This window comes from Homo sapiens, chromosome 5 (assembly GCF_000001405.40).
Source record: "Homo sapiens chromosome 5, GRCh38.p14 Primary Assembly".
Taxonomy (NCBI): Eukaryota; Metazoa; Chordata; class Mammalia; order Primates; family Hominidae; genus Homo; species Homo sapiens.
In genome coordinates, this window is record NC_000005.10 from 157,561,397 (window position 1) to 157,580,471 (window position 19,075).

A 19,075-nucleotide genomic window follows, 5' to 3' on the forward strand; every position below is an offset into this window, starting at 1 on the left:
GCTTTGATTTGATGGGAGAAGGCCAGACACGGCAGGATGATGAAAAAGAAATTTAAAATGTCCTCTCCCTCCCCCCAGAGTCCCAGAAGCCCTTGCTCACCGCTCCTGGGAGACCTGAGAATCCAGTGTATGGGGAAATGTACAGAGGGAGAGTGGAAACCTTCATCATCTATTAGGGCCTTGGAACGTGGCTGTTCCCTCTCCTTGGAATTGTCATCTCTCAGCTACCCATATGGCTCACTCCATCACCTCCTTCAGGTCTTGACTCAAGTATCAGTTCACCTGAAAGGCCTTCCCTGACTGCCATTCAGAAACAGCAGCTCCCATTCTACCTCCACACTCCCCTGGCCCCACTCCCTATGCTCCTCTGTCTCCTGCACAGCACCCATCACCTGACGGACGGTGCACTCACTTGTCTGCTTACTGTTTCCCACTAGAATAGAAGCTCCATAAAGGCTGTACTGTTTTATTCACAGCTTTATCCCCAGTACCTGCACTGGTGCCTGAAATGTCACAGAGGCACGTAGATTAAAAAAAAAAAAAAATGAATACGTTGATCGAGGAGGTTAAGAACCAGAGGCTGAGAAATGGCTTGGCCCAGGGCCTAGTTTCCCCCAAATGTCATGAGATTATAGAAACTTCAACACAGTGATTTGAAAAATTAGAAAATCATCTCCCCCGCTCCAAAGCTGTTTTGAATCCGGACTCGCACGCACCATGAATGAGAAGGCTTTGGGAAATAAACACACTAGGAAGTCGTGTGCAGTTGGAGTTCCGCTCACTAACACATGTTCAAAACAAAAAGCCCAATTTGGATGAAAATAGCAGGAAGCCGTCCCCCAGGGACACCTGGTGAGGTCATATTGCTTGGCTCTGCTGCTTCCATTTTTACCAACTCTGCTGCCTTCTGCCAATTCAAGGAGGCCAGGAACCACATCCAGCCCCATGCGGCTCAATGGGAAACGAGAGCTGCTCTCGGAAAAGCAGATGCTAGAACCACAGCCCCGGGCTCTCCTCTGGAGCCTCAGTGTGGGACAATAAAAATCCCAACAGTGGCTGGCCACTCACCATGCGCTGTGCAAGCACTTCCTGCACTTCACCTCATTTATCCTCACAACCATCCCACGAGGCTGGCCTTATTACCCTCATTTTATAAACAAGGACACCGAAGTTCCAAAAGATTCAGCCATTTGCCCTGGGTCACATTCTGTAACTCCAGACTCACACCAAGAATACACATGATCCTAGTTTCAGCTCTTTCATTTACTTGCTGGGTGGCCTCAGACAAATGCCTATCCCTCTCTGAATCAAAACTTCTGCATCCATAATTTCAGAGTTTTCTAAGATCATTCCATTCAGTGTTTTCTAAGGCATCTTCCTGCTTTAGCTTCCTATGGTCTGTAGCAAATGTTTCAAAATAGGAGGGAAGGATAGAGACTTGAGTCCTGGGACTCCTGCTTGGCCAGTCCAACTCCTAAGCATTTTCCCACAACACCAACACTATCACTTGGGCTGACCAGAGGGAGCTGAAGGGCCACAGGCTCTACTGGGGGCAGAACAGGAGAGATTAGACACAGGCAACAACAGGGAACACTTAGACTAGAGTTAATGGGAACAAAGCTGCCGTGAGCAACAAAGGCAGGCCCCCGAGAGACACGGTCAAGAACAAACCCTCTAAGGGCCTTTTCTTGTAGGACCAAAGGAAGACAATGCAAGGAAAAATCCAGGGCCAATAGACGCTGCACTGTCTAGGGACGCAGCTGGCCAGGTCTATTCCAGGGACACAGGAGAGAAGAAACACAGCCTAAACTGGCTTTACTCTCAAGAGGAGAGGAACAAAAATGACTGTGATCCCCATCTTTCTGGCTTCCCGAGGCCACCATGTCCTGGAGGCAGAGGAAGGATGTGGATGAAGCCCCACCACTGCACAAGCTGTGAGTTGTATTTTAACCACACTCGGGACAGCACTCATCCTCCTTTGCAAGTGCCCAAAAAGCCCAAATTTGGAATAAATTATATTCTCCCTTTCCACCCAAGCCTAAAAGCTATTCCCATCCTTTTGTATACAGGAAGGTCCTTCTTCATCCTTTTCTTGGCAGTGATGCATTTGATTACTCATTGGCTTCCAGGGGGTTCTGGAGGCTGCCAAGAGGAGACAGGCAGCTCTCCAAGCCACGCAGCCTTATCTGCGACGTCTGTGTGGCAGAACGAAAAGTGGGACGGTCAGTGGGGAAACACCAAATGTTTTCAGAGTCCCCCGGCCAAGTAAGGAGAGCTCTTCATGGCTAAGTAGATGGGGAATGGCCAAAGAATGAGCCACAGACATAGCCATGCATCGTGCCCATTCACCTCCTCCATTACATGAATCCAGATATGACTGCATCTGATGGCAAATCAATGTGCAAGTGCCTCTGAGCCAGGCTACCACCCAAGATGAATGAGGTTAAGAAGATGGAAGAGCCGGGCCCGATGTAGCCAGGAGACTGTTGACGATGCCCTGTTGACAAAATCTCAGATGCGGCTGAACCAGAACACATGGAACAATCTGAGTCTGAGGCTCCAAGCCCCAGCACACCCTGCTTTGCTCGCTCCTCTCTGCTGTTTTCCTCTAATCTCCTTCATTTCCTGCCACACACTAGGCTGGCGCTAGTAAGGCAGCTGCCAAAGACCTCTGGTCCATCCACTCCCTTAATCTCACACATACACAGACCTCTGTGTGCCCGCAGTGAACTCCAGGGGCCCCTGAAATACTGCCTAAGGAAATTTTAGCAACACATTTAGCAGTCCAGCAATCTCACATCGAGTCAAGAGGCTGTGGAAAGGCTCTGGCTTTGCAAGATGCTGCCTGAAAGAAACCAAGGACTGAGAGCTTGGGGTCACTCCATTGACTGCTTCCTTCCAGAACAGCGACACCTGCGTCCGGCGTTGACACAGAAGTTATTTGTTTCATTTTAGACAAAGGAGGAGTCCACTTACTCATTCTTCTCCAGGTCCAGGATCAGTTCTCGCCCCTCAGCCATTACCCTGAGCTCAGCTTTGAGTGGATGCTAAAAGCAACAACAAAACAATGTCAGTTCCTAAAAGCCGGCACCAGGCTCCCTGGGTCGGGCACAGGATCTAGCACAGCGCTCCAACATTGATCCACAGGAAGTGAATGAGCAAAGGTCAATTGCATTTCCAGCCCACATGTAAAATGACCTCAATCCCAGAATGACCCAAATCCTTCCCCCATCTGCTTTCTCCTGAAAGGCATAGAGAAGAAACTCCAGGCTGCAATGTGGTGTAAGTGTATGTATGTGGTGCGGTGAAGGGAAACACTGGAAAACACAATCTCCAGCAGTAAATGTCCTGCAGAGTCAGATCTGGATTCAAGCACCGGCTCTGACACCTGCAGCTGTGTGAAGTCGGACATGTTGCTGAGCCTCCCCACATCTCAGTTTCTTCATGTATGATACAGAGATAGTAATAGTCAATTTGATGGGGATCTTGTAAGGATTGAGTGAGATAATGAGCATAAATAATGTATCACAGTGCCTGGCACACGGCAAGCCATGATACATATTGCCTATTATCTTGTAAAATACTAGGGGATCCTCTTCGTAGTGGGTTCTTATTTCATTTTGGCTCTCCGTTTGGAAAACCCCAATCATCTCAGAGGAAGCAACTAAGAGATCCTCAAATTAAGGTTTTATAGGCCAAAAAGTAGATACATTTTACACATAAGCAGTTTGGTAGTGGCCACAGGTGCTACATATCCAGAACGGATCACTTAACATATACCAGTGGTTGATAAGCACAAAAACTATGTTCGACATCGCTAATAAACCACCTCCCCACGTCCAGAAAAACAAATTAAAAATAATAAGATACCTTGAAAAAAATCAAAGTGCCAGAGGTTATCTAAAACTCTAAATCACAATGCACAATGCCCACTGTAAACTGGGCACTCGCAATCCCTACCACTGAGAATTTAAACTGACGGCAACTCTCTGAAAGATAACATGACAGTATGCACTGAGAGTTTAAAAATGTTTAGACTCGGCCGGGCACAGTGGCTCACGCCTGTAATCCCAGCACTTTGGGAGGCCGAGGCAGGCAGATCAGGAGTTTGAGACCAGCCTGGCCAACACGGTGAAACCCCGTCTCTACCAAAAATACAAAAATTAGCCAGGCATGGTGGTGGGCACCTGTGATCCTAGCTACTCGGGAGGCTGAGGCAGGAGAATTGCTTGAACCTGGGAGGCGAAGGTTGCAGTGAGCTGAGATTGCGCCACTGCACTCCAGCCTGGGTGACAGAGCGAGACACTCTCTCTCAAAAAAAAAAAAAAATGTTTAGACTCAGGAATGTGAGGCTGTTTGAAAGGAATAAATGGAGGCACAGGCAAAGGTTTGCACATAAGGACATTTATTACTTATAATAATGAATAATGGGCCAGGCGCAGTGGCTCATGCCTGTAATCCCAGCACTTTGGGAGGCCGAGACGGGTGGACCACTTGAGGTCAGGAGTTCAAAACCAGCCTGACCAACATGGTGAAACCCCGTCTCTACTAAAAATATAAAAATTAGCTGGGCGTGGTGGTGCACACCTATAGTTCTAGCTATTCAGGAGGCTGAGGCAGGAGAATCGCTTGAACCTGGGAGGCGGAGGTTGCAGTGAGCCGAGAGCATGCCACTGCACTCCAGCCTGAGCGACAGAGCGAGACTCTGTCTCAAAAAAAAAAAAAAAAAGTAATGAATAATGAAATGTAACCTAACTGTCCTAAATATAACCTGTTAGAGAATGGTTAAATAAATGATGATCCATTCATATGACAGAACACTGAATGATCATTAAAAGCAGCAACTTTAAGTAGTTGTTAAATTACTGACAAAATGTACACAATAATCATTAGTCATAAAGCTCAAAATACAATACTGAATATTTTATTTAAATACACTTCGCAAAGGGAAAAATGTAGAGAGAAATAAGCCTAACCATTACCATAGTTAATGGGATCATGAGTTAATTTTGTTTTCTTTTGCACATCTTTCCACATGTTTACAATTGCTTTCACAGTTTAAGAAAAGAACTTTTTATTAATCTCTTTTTACTTTATTATTGTGGAGAATTTCAAAGAAATTTAAAAACCAAGTCATAATAAATCTCCACGCTTCAACAATTCAACTTAAGGCTACTGAACTTTTTTCGAAGAAATAAATTATTTTTTTAAAAAAGGATATTTACATATTTAAAACAGAACAGATTCTTTGGAGTGTTTTAAACATAAGCTCTCTATTTTGGGACTAAGGAACTGACAACTTTTTTTGAGACGGGGTCTTGCTTTGTTGTGCAGGCTGGAGTGCAGTGGCACAATCACGGCTCACTGCAGCCTCAACCTCCCAGGCTCAAGCATACTGAGTAGCTGGGACCACAGGTGCATGCCACCACACTGGGCTAGTATTTTTAAATTTTTTGTAGATACTGGGGTATTACCATGTTTCCAAAGCTGATCTTGAACTCCTGGGCTCATGTGATCCTCCCAACTCAGCCTCCCAAAGTGTTGGTATTACAAATGTGAGCCACCTCATCCAGCAGATAAATTCTTGAAGTCCCTTTCAATCCACAAAATCATTGCTAGAGTAGAGCTTCTAGCCCTTCTAAGGTTGACCTCAAAGCTTACTTCTTGCATGTCTGAGAAAGTAGGTCACCTGTTCTGCCACCTCTGGTTAGAAGCCTACCTCGTCTAAGCACATTCCCCTTCCTCGCTGCAAACCCCACTCTGCATTAGGATTTGGGCATTTCTGAGACTTTGAGGTCACCAAGGGCTCTGATGAGATCTCAACATTCCGATCAAAGGCTCTTGGGCAACGCTGGCCATTGCCTAATTAATCGTATTACTTCATCTCAAGAAGGAACATTTCAAACCCACCGAAGTAGGAAGCTGGGGAGATGTTTGACCAATAACTTTCACTAAGAGATTCACTTCTCTGTTTGTCATGCCCTGATTCAGCTCTGCCAACACCTATTCTGGTTGCAGATCCTTTGCCACTTTATGGAGTTTTTGAGGCAGTGCCCTGCCCAATCACACTGAGCATCAGGGACCCCAGCTCCAAGTGGGCATTTAAGAAAGACCACACAGACCGGGCACGGTGGCTCACGCCTGTAATCCCAACACTTTGGGAGGCCAAGGTGGGCGGATCCCTGGAGATCAGGAGTTCCAGACCAGCCTGACCAACATGGAGAAACCCCATCTCTACTAAAAATACAAAATTAGCCAGGCATGGTGGCGCATGCCTGTAATCCCAGCTACTTGGGAGGCTGAGGCAGAAGAATCGCTTGAACCCAGGAGGCAGAGGTTGCGGTAAGCTGAGATCACGCCATTGCACTCCAGCCTAGGCAACAAGAGCGAAACTCCGTCTAAACAAAAAAAAAAAATAAAAAAGAAAGAAAGAAAGACGACACAGCAACAGAGCTACAGCAATTCCCTCATCCAAGAGGTAGGTAACCATGTGACTGCCCCCACAGAAAATGAATACTGCCCCAAATCAAAGCACTATCTTCCCCTCCCCCAAAGAGACACAAGCTGCAGCAGGAATAGTAATCTTTTTTTTTTTTTTAAACAGAGTCTCGCTCTGTCACCCAGGCTGCAGTGCAGTGACCCAATCTTGGCTCACTGCAAACTCCATCTCCAGGGTTCAAGCCATTCTCATGCTCAGCCTCCCAAGTAGCTGGGATTACAGGTGTGCACCACTGCGCCTGGCTAATCTTTGTAATTTTAGTAGACAGGGTTTCTCCATGTTGGCCAGGCTGGTCTTGAACTCCTGACCTCAGGTGATCCACCCATCTCGGCCTCTCAAGGTGCTGGGATTACAGGGCGTGAGCCACCATGCCCCGCCAGGAGTAGTAATCTTTATTTTTATGTGGGTGATCCAAAAATAATTCTCTCTATTCTGGAAGGTGCTCAGGCACTGATATTTAAAAAAGGATGTTCCCTTTTTCTATGGGGCATTTCAAGCAAAACAATGAAACTGCATTTTAAGGATCTATGAAGCTTTTCTGTCCGGCTCTACTGATGAGCTTTTCTGATGAAACTCCACTCTGTATTAAGAAGAGGCACCATCAGCTCTCCTCTCCTATGAAGTACAGTAAGCTGACCCACTATTTATACCTCTCCTAGGGATGGGTTAAAAATTCTTTCCCCTTCAGTCTAGATTAAATAGATCTTTAGCTCCATAGGGTATTGGAAATCTGTCCTATATTTGCATTCCCCCTAAGATCTAGTATAATATTTAGTATACAGTATAAGTATTCAGTTAATGTTTAATGAATGTGAGCTTTAAGTCAGTGATGAGAAAAAGAGAAGAAAAAAATGTTTAATGAGTGAATTAATTATATAAATGAGAATGAGAGGCCCAAGTGAAATCCAGCCTCTAGTCTCTCTCTCTTCAACATTCATTCATTTGTTCATTGAACAAATAGTTACGGTGCCAGGCACTATGCTGACTATTCCTACAGAATACAATGACCCATATGCTGGGCAGACAATGGTTGGGAACAAAGACAGGATCTGGTCCTCTGCTTTGTTCTCAGGCCCTTCCTGAGGATGCCCGGCATCCACATCTGGAGAGAACAAAGAAGCCTCTATAAAAAGTAGCAGGTCCATTCCTCAGGGGGTATGAATAGGTTGCAATACCCAAGATCTTAATTGTTAAAAGTAATCTGCTCTAGGATGACCATCCATTAATTTGTCGAGACTTTTCCTGAAGCTATTTTCAGCCTCTCCTACTTTTTGATGAAATGAATTCCATGCGTTTACTGCCTTTAGGACAAAATGTTACTTGCTTTTATTTGTCCTGATTTTTTTTTTTTTTTTTTTTTTGAGACAAGGTCTTGCATTGTCACTCAGACTGGAGGACAGTGATGCTGATGCGACTATATCTTACTATAACCTCAAACTCCTGGGCTCAGGCGATCGTCCCACCTCAGCCTTCAGAGTAGCTGGGACTACAGACACACACCCCTAGGTCTAGCTAATTTTCTTTTTTTTTTTTTTTTTTTTTTGTAGAGATAGGATCTCAGTATGGTGCCCCAGGCTGGTCTTAAATTCCTGGCCTCAAATGATCCTCCTGCCTCAGCCTCCCAAAGTGCTGGGATTACAGGCTTGAGCCATCGCACTTGGTCTGTCCTAAAATTTACACTGTTAGGTTCCCTTGGTAAATCCAAGTTGGAGCCTTTTTGGACATGTCTGTATTATCCTGGCCAGAGTTTCAAGGATCCTGGACATTGCTCCTTTCCATTTATCTTTCCAGATTCAACAGCCACAATGTCTGAAGTCTTTCCTGACACATCTCTTTCCTGCTATAATCTTGCTCCTATATGTTGCCCAATAAATCACAAATCATTTTAACCCAAAGAGATCTTAGAAAAAACCCCTCTCCCCAGCTTTCTTTTCTCCTTATTCTCTCTAAGCACTATTTTATAAATGAAGAAAATCTACCACTTCGCAAGTGGCAGGTCACATAGCTGGTTACTGGCACACAACAACCGCATCTTCCTTTCTTGCTCTTTCACGTCTCACTTGCTGGAAAAACCAAAACCACAGTGGGCCACAGTGGCTGACGCCTGTAATCCCAACACTTTGAGAGGACTACGTGGGCGGATCACTTGAGGTCAGGAGTTCGAGACCACCCTGGACAACATGGTGAAAACCCATCTCTACTAAAAATACAAAAATTAGCCTGGCTTCGCAGCACACACATGTAATCTCAGCTACTCCGGAAGCTAAGGCATGAGAATCGCTTGAACCTGCCAGGCGGAGCTCACAGTGAGCCGAGATCATGTCACTGCACTCCAGCCTGTGCGACAGAGTGAGACTCTGTCAAAACAAACAAACAAACAAAAAAACAAAAACAAAAAAACAAAAAACAAAAACCAGAACCACAAAGAATATCCTAAATGCTCAGGTCCTCTCTGCAAGAACAGGACAGTGTTTTTTGTTTTCTTCCCAATCTCTTTGATAAAGCCTATGTGTTTTCCTGGTGTTCTGGCCAGGGGAGCCTACTGGATTTTAAGATACATTCCCCAGTACTAGGTCTCTACGCTGCGTCTTATTAAAATAGTTTATAGTTTATATTATTATCTTTTTTCTCTCCAAGTACATTATTCCTTCAAGAAAATGAAGTATGTATTATGCAGAGCAAAAATAACAATGACAATATTTAATGAATTCCAATCAAGACTAAGTGATTTCTGTGACACCAACACATCTGCACTTAGCTTGTGTCAGCATTAATGTGAATTTTCATTTCCTCAACTAATAGCATTGGGAAGTGTTCTAGAAGTTTGTCATACAAGGAAGGAAAGTCCCATCTGTGATCTCCAAAATGGGCACCCAGAGGACAGAGTGGGCCAGAAACAGAACTAATGGTGATGACTGGGATTCTAAGAAAGTTGAGTAGGTAGCCCAAACCTCAGTTGTCAACTCCTGCCAGTGTAAATGAGGTCTTTTGAGTCTTACCTTTTCTCTCACGGGGCTTTCTGAAGTCTTCCACTGAGGTATGATAAGTTCATGCTGCAGCTTGGGGCTGCCTTCCTCACTTCCTCCTGCCAATACAAGATGCAAAACCATTGGAATCCCAGACCTCTATACCCCAGCTAAGCCACACATGCACTTTCTGTGAGCTGCCCCTGCACTGGGTCATTAGAAGACTTGCTGGATTTCAGGCTCTTGGCACTTCCTAGGAACTAGGCACTCTAGGTGTCGGTGATATTGTGGTAAATAGGACATATAAGGTCTCTGTACTTGTAAAGGTGGGAGACAGACAATGAACAAATGTTCTCACATGGTGCTAAGTACCCTGAATAAAATAAGTTGGGGTCATGGAGTAAAGAGACATCTATCAGGAGGTGCCTATTTGAAACAGGATGATCAGCATAGATGGCATTTGAGTCCTGAGGAGCCAGAAGGCAGCCATGCAAAAACGTGGGGGAAGAGTGCCCCAGGTAGAGGAAACAGCAAGTGCAATGGCCCTGCCTGAGCAGAAGTGAACTTGGCCTGTTGAAGGAACAAGCATAAGGTAGGGGTAGCTAGTAAATGAAAGAGGAAGTTGGTATGAGATGTGGTCAGCAAGACAGCCATGGGTCTGATAATGCAGAGACCACGGAGAGTGTCTGGATTTTCTTATAAATAGACTTGGAAGGCACTGGGTGTTTTAAATACAGAGCAATATGATCTGTGTTAAGTTTAAAAAAGATCACTCTGCCTGCGTGGTGGAGAATGGGGGTGGGGTGAGGCAGAGCGGCGAGAGTGAGAGCAGAAGCAGGAAGGCCAGGCTAGAGATATGCTGGAGCCCTGGTGAGAGATGATGGTGGCTCAGATTAGAATGACATCAGTGGAGAGGAATGAAGCGGTGGGATTCTGGGCATATTCTGGAGGTCAAGCCCATGAATACTGCTCCCATGGAGCTTTAGTTTTCTTGCCTGTAAAATGAAGACAAAGATGCTACCTGCCCATCTCACAGCTTTATTGTGAAGAGTCAATATGAAATTGCCTCCTACTCCGCAGAGCATCACTGCATCAAGTTACATTAATTGGAGCTTCCTAATGGCAAGTTTACATTTGTATTCCACTTTCTACTTCCCAAATCACTCTCCCAAACCAGTTCTCCTTCATGCTCAAGGCAACCCTGGGAAGTAGGAAGTAGGAGTCCTGTTTTTTTTTTCTTTTGAGACGGAGTCTCGCTTTGTCGCCCAGGCTGGAGTGCAGTGGTGTGATCTCGGCTCACTGCAAGCTCCGCCTTCCGGGTTCATGCCATTCTCCTGCCTCAGCCTCCCGAGTAGCTGGGACTACAGGCACCCGCCACCACACCCGGCTAATTTTTTTGTATTTTTACTAGAGACTGGGAGGAGTCCTGTTTTGCAAGAAAGAGAATTTAAACTATAGGAGAGATTTGTTCAGGGCGCTGCAGAACTCAAATACTGGCGGCAGACTATCTTAACAAAATGGTAATTTCCCGACACCTAAACAGACTGGTCTCCGTAGTGTTCCTGGGAATGGGGCTGAGGACTCCAAAATCTATTCTGTCTAAACTAACTACATCAATCATACAGAATATGAATGATAAAAAGATGGCCATAGTTGTTCTGTTAGAGTGGTGATTATGAGTAATTATTAACATTCTCTTCAGAATACCGATATAATGCACTTGCAGTCAACATAGATTTTAAAAATAATCTTATTGGACCAACACCAATTCATCAGACAGGCAAATATTAGAAACAATGCATTCATATATTTATCAAATATTTTCTGAGTACTTAACTATGTGCCAAGTACTATGCTATGAATAGGTGCTTAATATTCATGGAGGAACAAGACAAGCATACTGCAGGACAGGAACGGTGGCTCACAACCTGTAATCTCAGCACTTTGGAGGTCCGAGGTGGGCGGATCACCTGAAGTCAGGAGTTTGAGACTAGCCTGGCCAACAAGGTGAAACCCTGTCTCTACTAAAAATATGAAAATTAGCTGGGTGTGGTGGCGCATGCCTGTAATCCCAGCTACTCAGGAGGCTGAGGCACGAGAATCCCTTGAATCTGGGAGGCCAAGATTGCGCCAGTGCACTCCAGCCTGAGTGACAGAGCAAGACTCCATCTCAGAAATAAAAAAAAGACAAGCATCGCTCTTGCCCTGGTGGCTCTGATAAGTCTATATTATTTTAAACAAAAAGGAATTCTATAATATTTAATGGAGCATTTAATGGAATTAAATGATATCTACGATTGTAAAAAAATAGTGAAAGCAATCTAAAATCTCACCAAAAGAGGAACATAGTACATGTTAAGAAAAGGTCTCCAAAACTTGGAAATAAGGCAAGAGCAAGCAAGATGTCTTCTCAATGTTGTATCAGAGCATTGTTTAACAGACTCACCCATGGATTACTGCATTATCTAGGGGAATGTACCATTGACTTTTTATTTACCATTGATTAAAAGCTACACTCTGTGAAGTTATATAATCTATATATATCTATAGAATTCTGTCTGACAGAGATGTAAGTGATTTCAGCATAGTAAAAAGATAACCTGGCCAGGCACAATGGCTCACGCCTGTAATCCTAGCACTTTAGGAGGCCGAGGCGGGCGGATCACCTGAGGTCAGGAATTTGAGACTAGCCTGGCCAACATGGTGAAACCCCGTCTCTACTAAAAATACAAAAACTAGCCGGGTGTGGTGGCACATGCCAATAAGCCCAGCTACTCAGGAGGCTGAGGCAGGAGAATAGCTTGAACCCAGGAAGCAGAGACTGCAGTGAGCCCAGATCGTGCCACTGCATGCCAGCCTGGGCAACAGATAGAGACTCTGAAAAAAAAAAAAAGAAAGAAAAGAAGGAATGAAGGAAGGAAATTAAAAAAGAAAGATAACCAAGAATTATGGTTTGCTTCATGGGGCATCCACCATTTCTGCATCTGCCCTGGGCCACATGATTTCAACATTCTTTCTCCAATGCTTGTATCACCCCTTTCTAATGCTCCCTGAATCAGCTTTACTCTCCTGTTTGCTACCTCATTAATGAGTTGAATAAATCTTGGCCACATTTGTATGAGTCGTGTTTTTAACTTTTGAAAACTTTGTATAGAGTCATTAAAATCATGTTTTACAGAGAATTTGATGATGTGGAAAACGCTCATGGTGTGAAGTGAAAAACGCAAGACACGAAACTGTACTTATGGGTATGGTTCCAATTTTATCAATATATATCCATAGGAACACACAAAGAATGTGGAGGGGAAAAAAAACAAAATATCAACAGCAACTGTGGATTTGGGGGTTGCAGATCATTTTCTTTTACACTTTTCGTTATTTCCCAGATATTCTACAGCAAGTGTTCTCCAAGGACTCAAAACTCAGAGAAGGCGCCTGTGCTAGGAGCAGTAACTAGCTTTCCTTGTCTTTCTTCATGCTTTTCTCCTGCACTAAGCACTGACACAGGCCTGGTGCTACCCTAGAACCTCCTCTGTGCCTCAGTTTCCCCTTCGGAACAACAGCTCAAAGGGCGGTTCCTTTGAGCCCTTTGGGAGGACCGCCCGACCTCGGCCCCTGGAAGTTCCGAACTGTCGGAAGAGCTCTCAGCCTCTGGGTTTGAGGCGGCCCGGGGGTCCAGCCAGCCCACCCTCGCTCCGCCGGTGCTCGCTCTATTTGAAAACGCTGACTGTTGGTCCCCCAAGCAGCAGTCTGGAGTCAGCCCAGCCCGTCTGCAGCGGTGGAGCCAGGGCTAAGCCTTCTCCGGTCATAATGAGAGAACCCGGGCACCGCCCCCCGGGACCAAGCCTTCCGCGAAATCTGCTTATAGCCCCCGAGGGATGGAGCCGGGGAGGGGATTGGTGTCTGGGAAACTAGTCCTGAGAAACACGGACATCACCCGGCATCTTAGCTGGAAACATCGAGTCAGACCCCTTCGCTTCACAGAAGGGGAAACTGAGGACCAAAGAAGGCGGCCGTCGGGTTGGCGTGGAAAGAGAGCCCTGGTTTCCAGTGCCACCGCGGACCTCAACCCGTGGCGTGGCCTTGGGCAAGTCCTTTCCCTTTTGTGGGCCTCGGTTTCCCCATCTGTGAAATGGGTGCGTTTGACTTGGCCTTCAGTAGGGCTCCTGCCAGCTCGGGGATCCGAAGTGTGTGGCTGCAGATACCCAGCGAGCCATCCCCTAGCCAAGGCTACCACAGTCTGCCGCGGGCATTTTATGTCCTACCCCACCAGTGTGGCAGGCACCGAGCCTGGTCCCAGGAAGCCGCTCCCAGGCCACACGGGCAGGGCGCTCGGGATGCTCGGCGTTGGCGAGTGCAGCGGGCGGTAGAGAGAAAGACAGAGAGAGAGGCGGAGCGGACACGAGGGACCGTGAGAAAACGGAGGAGGATAAGCCCCGAGAACGGCGGAAAGAGAAGCCAAAAGCAGAAAAACAGAGGAAGGAGAAGGCGAGAAGGGAAGGCTAGCCAGTGAGCGGACCGGCTGTTTTCTGGCTGCGCCGGGTTTCCCCGACCTCTGCCACCTCCCAGGGCGCAGAACGTGGGAACAAAGCCCGGGCTCCCAGGCTGGGGACGGCGGGGGCGCAGGCCCCGCGGAGTTGCGGGAGGCGCAGGGGTCGCGGTCCCAGCGCTCCGGACCCGCAAGGCTACTCCCAGGTCTCCGGGCCACCCAGCCTCCATCCCCCCGCGCCTGGCCACTTACTTGTCCATCCAGGCTCCCGCGCCGCCCGCGGCCGGAGGGGCTGCAGGGCAAACGCCAGCAAGCAGAGCCGGGCGGCGCCTGCGCCCCCTGGCATGGTGGCGGCGGCCCTTAGCGCTCGGCGCTCACACGCCCTCAGCCATACCTGCCCACTGCCCGGCGGTGGAGGCGCGTCTGGAACCCCCCGGCTCGCCCCGCGCCTCCCCACCCGGCTCCCAGCCCTCTGCCGAGACGCTCCGCCTCCAGCCCCGCGGGCCTCCGCCAGGGGATGGAGGAGGGGAGGCTCCAGCCCGGAGGGGGCTGGAGGGAGGGGCCGGGGAGGAGCTGGCGAGACTCGGGGGAGCGGGGCTGGCTCAGGTGAGGGAGACCGCGGGGAAGGGAGAATCCGAGCCCCCCAGGAGGAGGGATTTGTGGTGGACGCGGCCTGTAGAGGGTCGGGGACTCGGGCTTCTAGGAGTTAAACTGGACCCCTCTCCGCACAGCGGCCCGTTTACTGTCCCGCACTGTGCCAGACGCCTTGGGTGACACTCAGAGGTGATTCACCCAGCGCCGTCCCCCGGGGGCCGCCACTCTCGGAGACAGGCTCAGAAAGAGTTAACCCAACCGCCAGGCACAAAGAACTAAGTGCTATATGGACTTCTTTTTTTTTTTTTTTTTTTTTTTTTTTTTTTTTTTTTAAGCAGGACACAAATCCAGGAGCCATTCCTTCTGCCTGGGAGGAGGGAGTGATGAAGACCAGAGGAATCCCAGAGGAGAAGCCATCTGAGATCGGGAGGAGGAGAAATGGAACATCAGGCGGAGGAAACAGCCCAGACAATCGCACTGGGACGTGAAAACCCTTGGGCTGCATGCGGGGAGAAAACCAGAATTGGGGATGGTTAGGGTTTTGGAGGGAAACACAGGGACATGTGACCAAAAATAATAATAACTACTGTTACTTATTGAGGACTTTCTATGTACTAGAATAAGAAAATCATGATAGCTAAGACTGATAAAACGCTAAGTGTCAAACGCTGTCTTCAGCACTTTACACATATTCACTTATTTAATTAATCGGAGAAAATAACTTTTATGAGCCAGGGACTCTGCATACATTATCTCTTTTCATTAGCCCAGTAATCCCATGGGGTAGGTACTAGTACTATCCCTGTTTTAGAAATGAGGAAATCAAACCTGAGAGGCTAAACCACTTGCCCAAGATTACACAGCTAATGTCAGTGCCTAGATTCAAACCCACATCCGTATAACTCCAGAGCCTGATGCAACACACCTTATTTTCCAGGTGGAGAAACTGATAATGAGAGAGAAATGACTTGCCTAAGATCCCTCAGCAAGTTTTAGCAAAGCCTCGTTGTAGAATCCCAGCCTCAAACCTCGTCCATCTGTTCCTTTTTCTGAGCCTCTTTAGTCAAACCCAGGTTGACTAGAGAAGTGCTAAGTGTTGGAGAGGGCGAGGCACTCCTGAAGATGATGGGTAGGTAGGTCTATCAAACCCTACTCATGGGCACCCATGAGGGAAATCAAATAAGTGGTTCTGGCCATTAATGTCGTTTGGGACTCCGTTAGTCTCCAGCTGCTGTAAAATTCGTATCTTTCTGTGAACCCGAAATATCTGAGATAGGTCTCAGTCAATTTAGAAGGTTAATTTTGCCAAGCTTAAGAACGTGCTCATGACACAGCCTCAGGAGGTCCCAACATGTGCCCAGGGTGGTGGGGGTGTAGCCTCCTTTTATATATTTTGGGGAGACATGAGACATCAATCAATATGTGTAGGATGTACATTGCTTCCGGTCCGGTAAGGCAAGACAACTCCAAGCTGCAGAAAGGGTGGTGCTTCCAGGTTATAAGTAGATAAGAAACAGAAGAGGTTACATTCTTTTGAGTCCTTGATCAACCTTCCACTGAATACACAATTTAGTCTAGCTCAGTGAATCTACATTTTTACATAAACAATAGGGCAGAAGAAGCAATCAGATATGCATTTGTTTCCGGTGAGCCTCAGAGGGATGGCTTTAAATTCTGTCTGTCCTTTGTCCACAAGGAATTTCCTTGTGTGAAAATTGTGAGGAAGGTATGTAGCTGTTTCTCTTTGTAGCTATCTTATTTAAGAATAGGATGGTGGCCTGGCATTGTGGCTTAGGCCTGTAATCCCAGCACTTTGGGAGGCCAAGGCGGGCAGATCACCTGAGGTCAGGAATTCGAGACCAGTCTGACCAATGTGGCGAAACCCTGTCTCTACTAAAAATACAAAAAAAATTAGCCAGGCGTGGTGGCACACCTGTAATCCCAGCTACTCAGGAGGCTGAGGCAGGAGATCGCTTAAACCTCGGAAGGGGAGGTTGCAGTGAGCCAAGATCACGCCACTGCACTCCAGCCTGGGCGACAGAGTGAGACTCTATTTCAAAAAAAAAAAAAAAAAGAAGAAAAGAATAAAATGGGGGACAGGTTTGCCTGACATTGTTCCCAGCTTGACTTTTTCCTTGGCTTAGTGATTTGGGAGTCCTAAGATTTATTTTCCTTTCACACTTCTCGCGTGCAGAATATATCCACCCCATCCCAGCAGCCCAAATGTCTTCACTCATTCCAGCATTAATTCCAAGTCTGAAGTGTCATCTAAATTTCATCTGTATTAGATATGGGTGAGACTTGAAGTTTGTTTCATCCTGAGGCAAAATTCCTCTCAGCTTCCAAATACAATGTGGTGGGAAAGGCATAGGATAGACGTGCTGATTCCAAAAGAGAGATACTGAAAAGAACAAGGTGACAGTCCCCAAAAGTGCAAAACCTAGCAAGGCAAATTCCATCAGATCTTAATGCTCTACAACAATCTTCTTTGGCTGGATATTCTGCCCTGTAGGCCCACTGGGTCAGCAGTGTCACCCCCACAGCACCAGGCAGTGGCCAGCACCATAGCTCTTTGTCACAGTCCCCCACCCCAAGGCACTGGGCAGGGGCAGCCTGGCCTGCTCAAGAGAAGGAGACTCCACCCTTTCACTCCCTGCCTCCCCAACAGCCCGCTGTGGTGGGAGTGGCAACCCTGATGATCTGTGAATCATTTTTCTTAAAGAATGAAGCGAGCTGTATTGTCCTGTCCCGTAGAACAAAATTCTAAAAGCCTTCCTTTGTTTCATCCTGTCTTTATTCCTTTTGGTCTAAATTGGCAATGTCTTTGCTGGTAAAACCCATCTCTATTTCTGACTTCTAATGAGATGGCTGACTAGCTCCATGGGTTATTGTCCAGCCACACCCTTAGTGTCCTCTCCAGAAAATCCTTTTTTATTTTTTGCAATATGAATAGGCCAATAATTTTCCAAATCTTCAAGTTCTGTTTCCTTTTTGCTTAGCAATTCCTTCCATTTATCTCCATCCACTCACATTTTACATAAGTACCGAGGAGAAGCCAGGCCTCATCTTCAACACTTTGGAAATCTCTGCAGCTAAATATTTAAGTTCATCACTTGCAATTTCTACTTTCCACAAAACACTAGAACACAATTGGTGGTGGAGAAAACACAAACTCAAAGTGCTTTTTCCTCTTCTCTCACTCAACACAACAACAATCAACAGAGAAGACTTCTGTGATCAAAGATGTGGGGGCTTTCCCCACACACCAAGCAGCAGTGAATTTAGACACTATAGATAGCATCAGATCCCACAGGTTGAGGTCTCAGTTTCCAAGACTGGGCCCCCTTCAGACACCAGACGTGTGTTCTTCCAGAACTTCTGACCAACTGGCTTCCAGTTGGGGTTCCCAGGACACCTCTTTGGGTTCAATTAGTTTACCAGAGCAGCTCACAGAACTCGGAGAAGCACTTGTTAACATGAACCCAGCAAGGCCTGTGTCTTCAGATTCTTCTTGACCTCTCTGTGCAACATTCCTTCCTCAACAGTATGTGGCAGCTTGCTTCAGCACTACGTCTATTAAATTGGAAAGATACAGAGATTACCCTGGCTCCTGTGCAAGGATGACATGAAAATTCATGATGCATTCTATACTTTAAAAGTAAAAAATAAAGAGTATAGGCCAGGATCATCTCTGCAATGAGGGTCTATGACTCACAATTAGATTATAGTCCTGCTGTAGGCAGGTGAAAGAAGGGCAGAAGAAGGTCAGATTCTGTTTCCTGACACCTGTTTCTGAGGCCTAAAGTGCCCCAACATCATAACAAAAGACTATAACAAGGGCTATGGGAGATATGAGCCAGGAACCGTGGATTAAAACCAATATACATATGTATCATAATATCACAGCAATTCAGCTGAACCCTTTGCCACGTTGTAAGTAGTATTGGGGTTCAGAAACCAATATCCCAAGATATGGCACTTTGACACATTAAACTAAAGAAGTCTTAAGGTCTCTTTGACCTTCCCCCACACTCTCCTGTCTCTCAATCCTTTGTCTCTCCCAAAGCACAGCATGAAGTTGTTCTCTGAAGTTCCCTTATGTGCCTAAAGTCTGGACCTGCCAAAGAAGACAACAGTCTCGGGTGCCTTCCCTGTGTTTTCATTAACTGCATTCATATCGCAGGAAGACTGAAGTCTGTCAATACACCTGAACAGACTTTTGTCACAAACCATTGTCAGGTCTGTGGGCCAAAAGACTCTGTCCTAGGCCATTGTATGTTCTTCAAGCCCACTGAATTCCCCTAAAAATCAAGTACTATCCCCCAAAAATCATCCGCACTCCCCTATCTCCCTTTCCCCTAAGAAGTAGGGTATATAAACGTCCATACCCCAATGGGATATTGGACAATCACTCTGTGATTCTCTCCCATGCATGCTAATAAATTTGTATGCATTGTCTCCAGTTAATCTGCCTTTTGTGAGTTGATTTTTTGCTGAAACTTCAGAGGGCAAAGGGGAAGTTTTCCC

General features: G+C 46.5%; 1 protein-coding gene, 1 long non-coding RNA gene and 1 pseudogene across 5 annotated transcripts in view, besides 10 other annotated features; 2 read left to right on the plus strand and 1 right to left on the minus strand.

The window, feature by feature from the left end:
* Window positions 1–14,379, minus strand: part of ADAM19 (ADAM metallopeptidase domain 19) — a 98,472-nt gene extending 84,093 nt beyond the window's left edge. For both annotated transcript variants that reach the window (NM_033274.5, XM_047417858.1), the window contains exons 1-3: window positions 14,207–14,379; window positions 9,499–9,584; window positions 2,977–3,047 (exon numbers count right to left, since the gene is read on the minus strand). In NM_033274.5, the coding sequence (NP_150377.1) occupies window positions 2,977–3,047; window positions 9,499–9,584; window positions 14,207–14,300 (251 nt within the window). In that variant the 5' untranslated portion in view covers window positions 14,301–14,379. The remainder of the gene's footprint in view (window positions 1–2,976; window positions 3,048–9,498; window positions 9,585–14,206) is intronic.
* Window positions 9,854–9,903: an enhancer, noted in NCBI's record as "active region_23522". NCBI's record gives its function as "activates an Ori minimal core promoter by ATAC-STARR-seq in GM12878 lymphoblastoid cells {active_cell/tissue: GM12878}" and the evidence as "EXISTENCE:reporter gene assay evidence [ECO:0000049][PMID:35858748]".
* Window positions 10,084–10,203: an enhancer, noted in NCBI's record as "active region_23523". NCBI's record gives its function as "activates an Ori minimal core promoter by ATAC-STARR-seq in GM12878 lymphoblastoid cells {active_cell/tissue: GM12878}" and the evidence as "EXISTENCE:reporter gene assay evidence [ECO:0000049][PMID:35858748]".
* Window positions 10,084–10,459: a biological region, named in NCBI's record as "Sharpr-MPRA regulatory region 5046".
* Window positions 10,165–10,459: a silencer, noted in NCBI's record as "tiled region #5046; K562 Repressive DNase matched - State 8:EnhW". NCBI's record gives its function as "represses a minimal TATA promoter and a strong SV40 promoter by Sharpr-MPRA in K562 cells {active_cell/tissue: K562}" and the evidence as "EXISTENCE:reporter gene assay evidence [ECO:0000049][PMID:27701403]".
* Window positions 13,075–13,604: an enhancer, noted in NCBI's record as "H3K27ac-H3K4me1 hESC enhancer chr5:157001479-157002008 (GRCh37/hg19 assembly coordinates)". NCBI's record gives its function as "activates a minimal SCP1, AML or CMV promoter by ChIP-STARR-seq in primed H9 embryonic stem cells {active_cell/tissue: H9 hESC(primed)}" and the evidence as "EXISTENCE:reporter gene assay evidence [ECO:0000049][PMID:30033119]".
* Window positions 13,583–15,214, plus strand: LOC124901121 (uncharacterized). 3 transcript variants are annotated; one of them, XR_007059018.1, is made up of 2 exons: window positions 13,583–13,974; window positions 14,884–15,214. It is a non-coding gene; the product is annotated as an uncharacterized LOC124901121 (long non-coding RNA). The 3 variants fall into 3 exon arrangements; XR_007059017.1 differs by having other exon boundaries at window positions 14,887–15,214; XR_007059019.1 differs by lacking the exon at window positions 13,583–13,974 and adding an exon at window positions 14,341–14,560 and having other exon boundaries at window positions 14,887–15,214.
* Window positions 13,841–13,920: an enhancer, noted in NCBI's record as "active region_23524". NCBI's record gives its function as "activates an Ori minimal core promoter by ATAC-STARR-seq in GM12878 lymphoblastoid cells {active_cell/tissue: GM12878}" and the evidence as "EXISTENCE:reporter gene assay evidence [ECO:0000049][PMID:35858748]".
* Window positions 14,091–14,530: a silencer, noted in NCBI's record as "silent region_16561". NCBI's record gives its function as "represses an Ori minimal core promoter by ATAC-STARR-seq in GM12878 lymphoblastoid cells {active_cell/tissue: GM12878}" and the evidence as "EXISTENCE:reporter gene assay evidence [ECO:0000049][PMID:35858748]".
* Window positions 15,778–16,393: an enhancer, noted in NCBI's record as "H3K27ac-H3K4me1 hESC enhancer chr5:157004182-157004797 (GRCh37/hg19 assembly coordinates)". NCBI's record gives its function as "activates a minimal SCP1, AML or CMV promoter by ChIP-STARR-seq in naive H9 embryonic stem cells {active_cell/tissue: H9 hESC(naive)}" and the evidence as "EXISTENCE:reporter gene assay evidence [ECO:0000049][PMID:30033119]".
* Window positions 16,394–17,010: an enhancer, noted in NCBI's record as "NANOG-H3K27ac-H3K4me1 hESC enhancer chr5:157004798-157005414 (GRCh37/hg19 assembly coordinates)". NCBI's record gives its function as "activates a minimal SCP1, AML or CMV promoter by ChIP-STARR-seq in naive H9 embryonic stem cells {active_cell/tissue: H9 hESC(naive)}" and the evidence as "EXISTENCE:reporter gene assay evidence [ECO:0000049][PMID:30033119]".
* Window positions 17,011–17,625: an enhancer, noted in NCBI's record as "NANOG-H3K27ac-H3K4me1 hESC enhancer chr5:157005415-157006029 (GRCh37/hg19 assembly coordinates)". NCBI's record gives its function as "activates a minimal SCP1, AML or CMV promoter by ChIP-STARR-seq in naive H9 embryonic stem cells {active_cell/tissue: H9 hESC(naive)}" and the evidence as "EXISTENCE:reporter gene assay evidence [ECO:0000049][PMID:30033119]".
* Window positions 18,101–18,203, plus strand: RNU6-390P (RNA, U6 small nuclear 390, pseudogene; annotated as a pseudogene).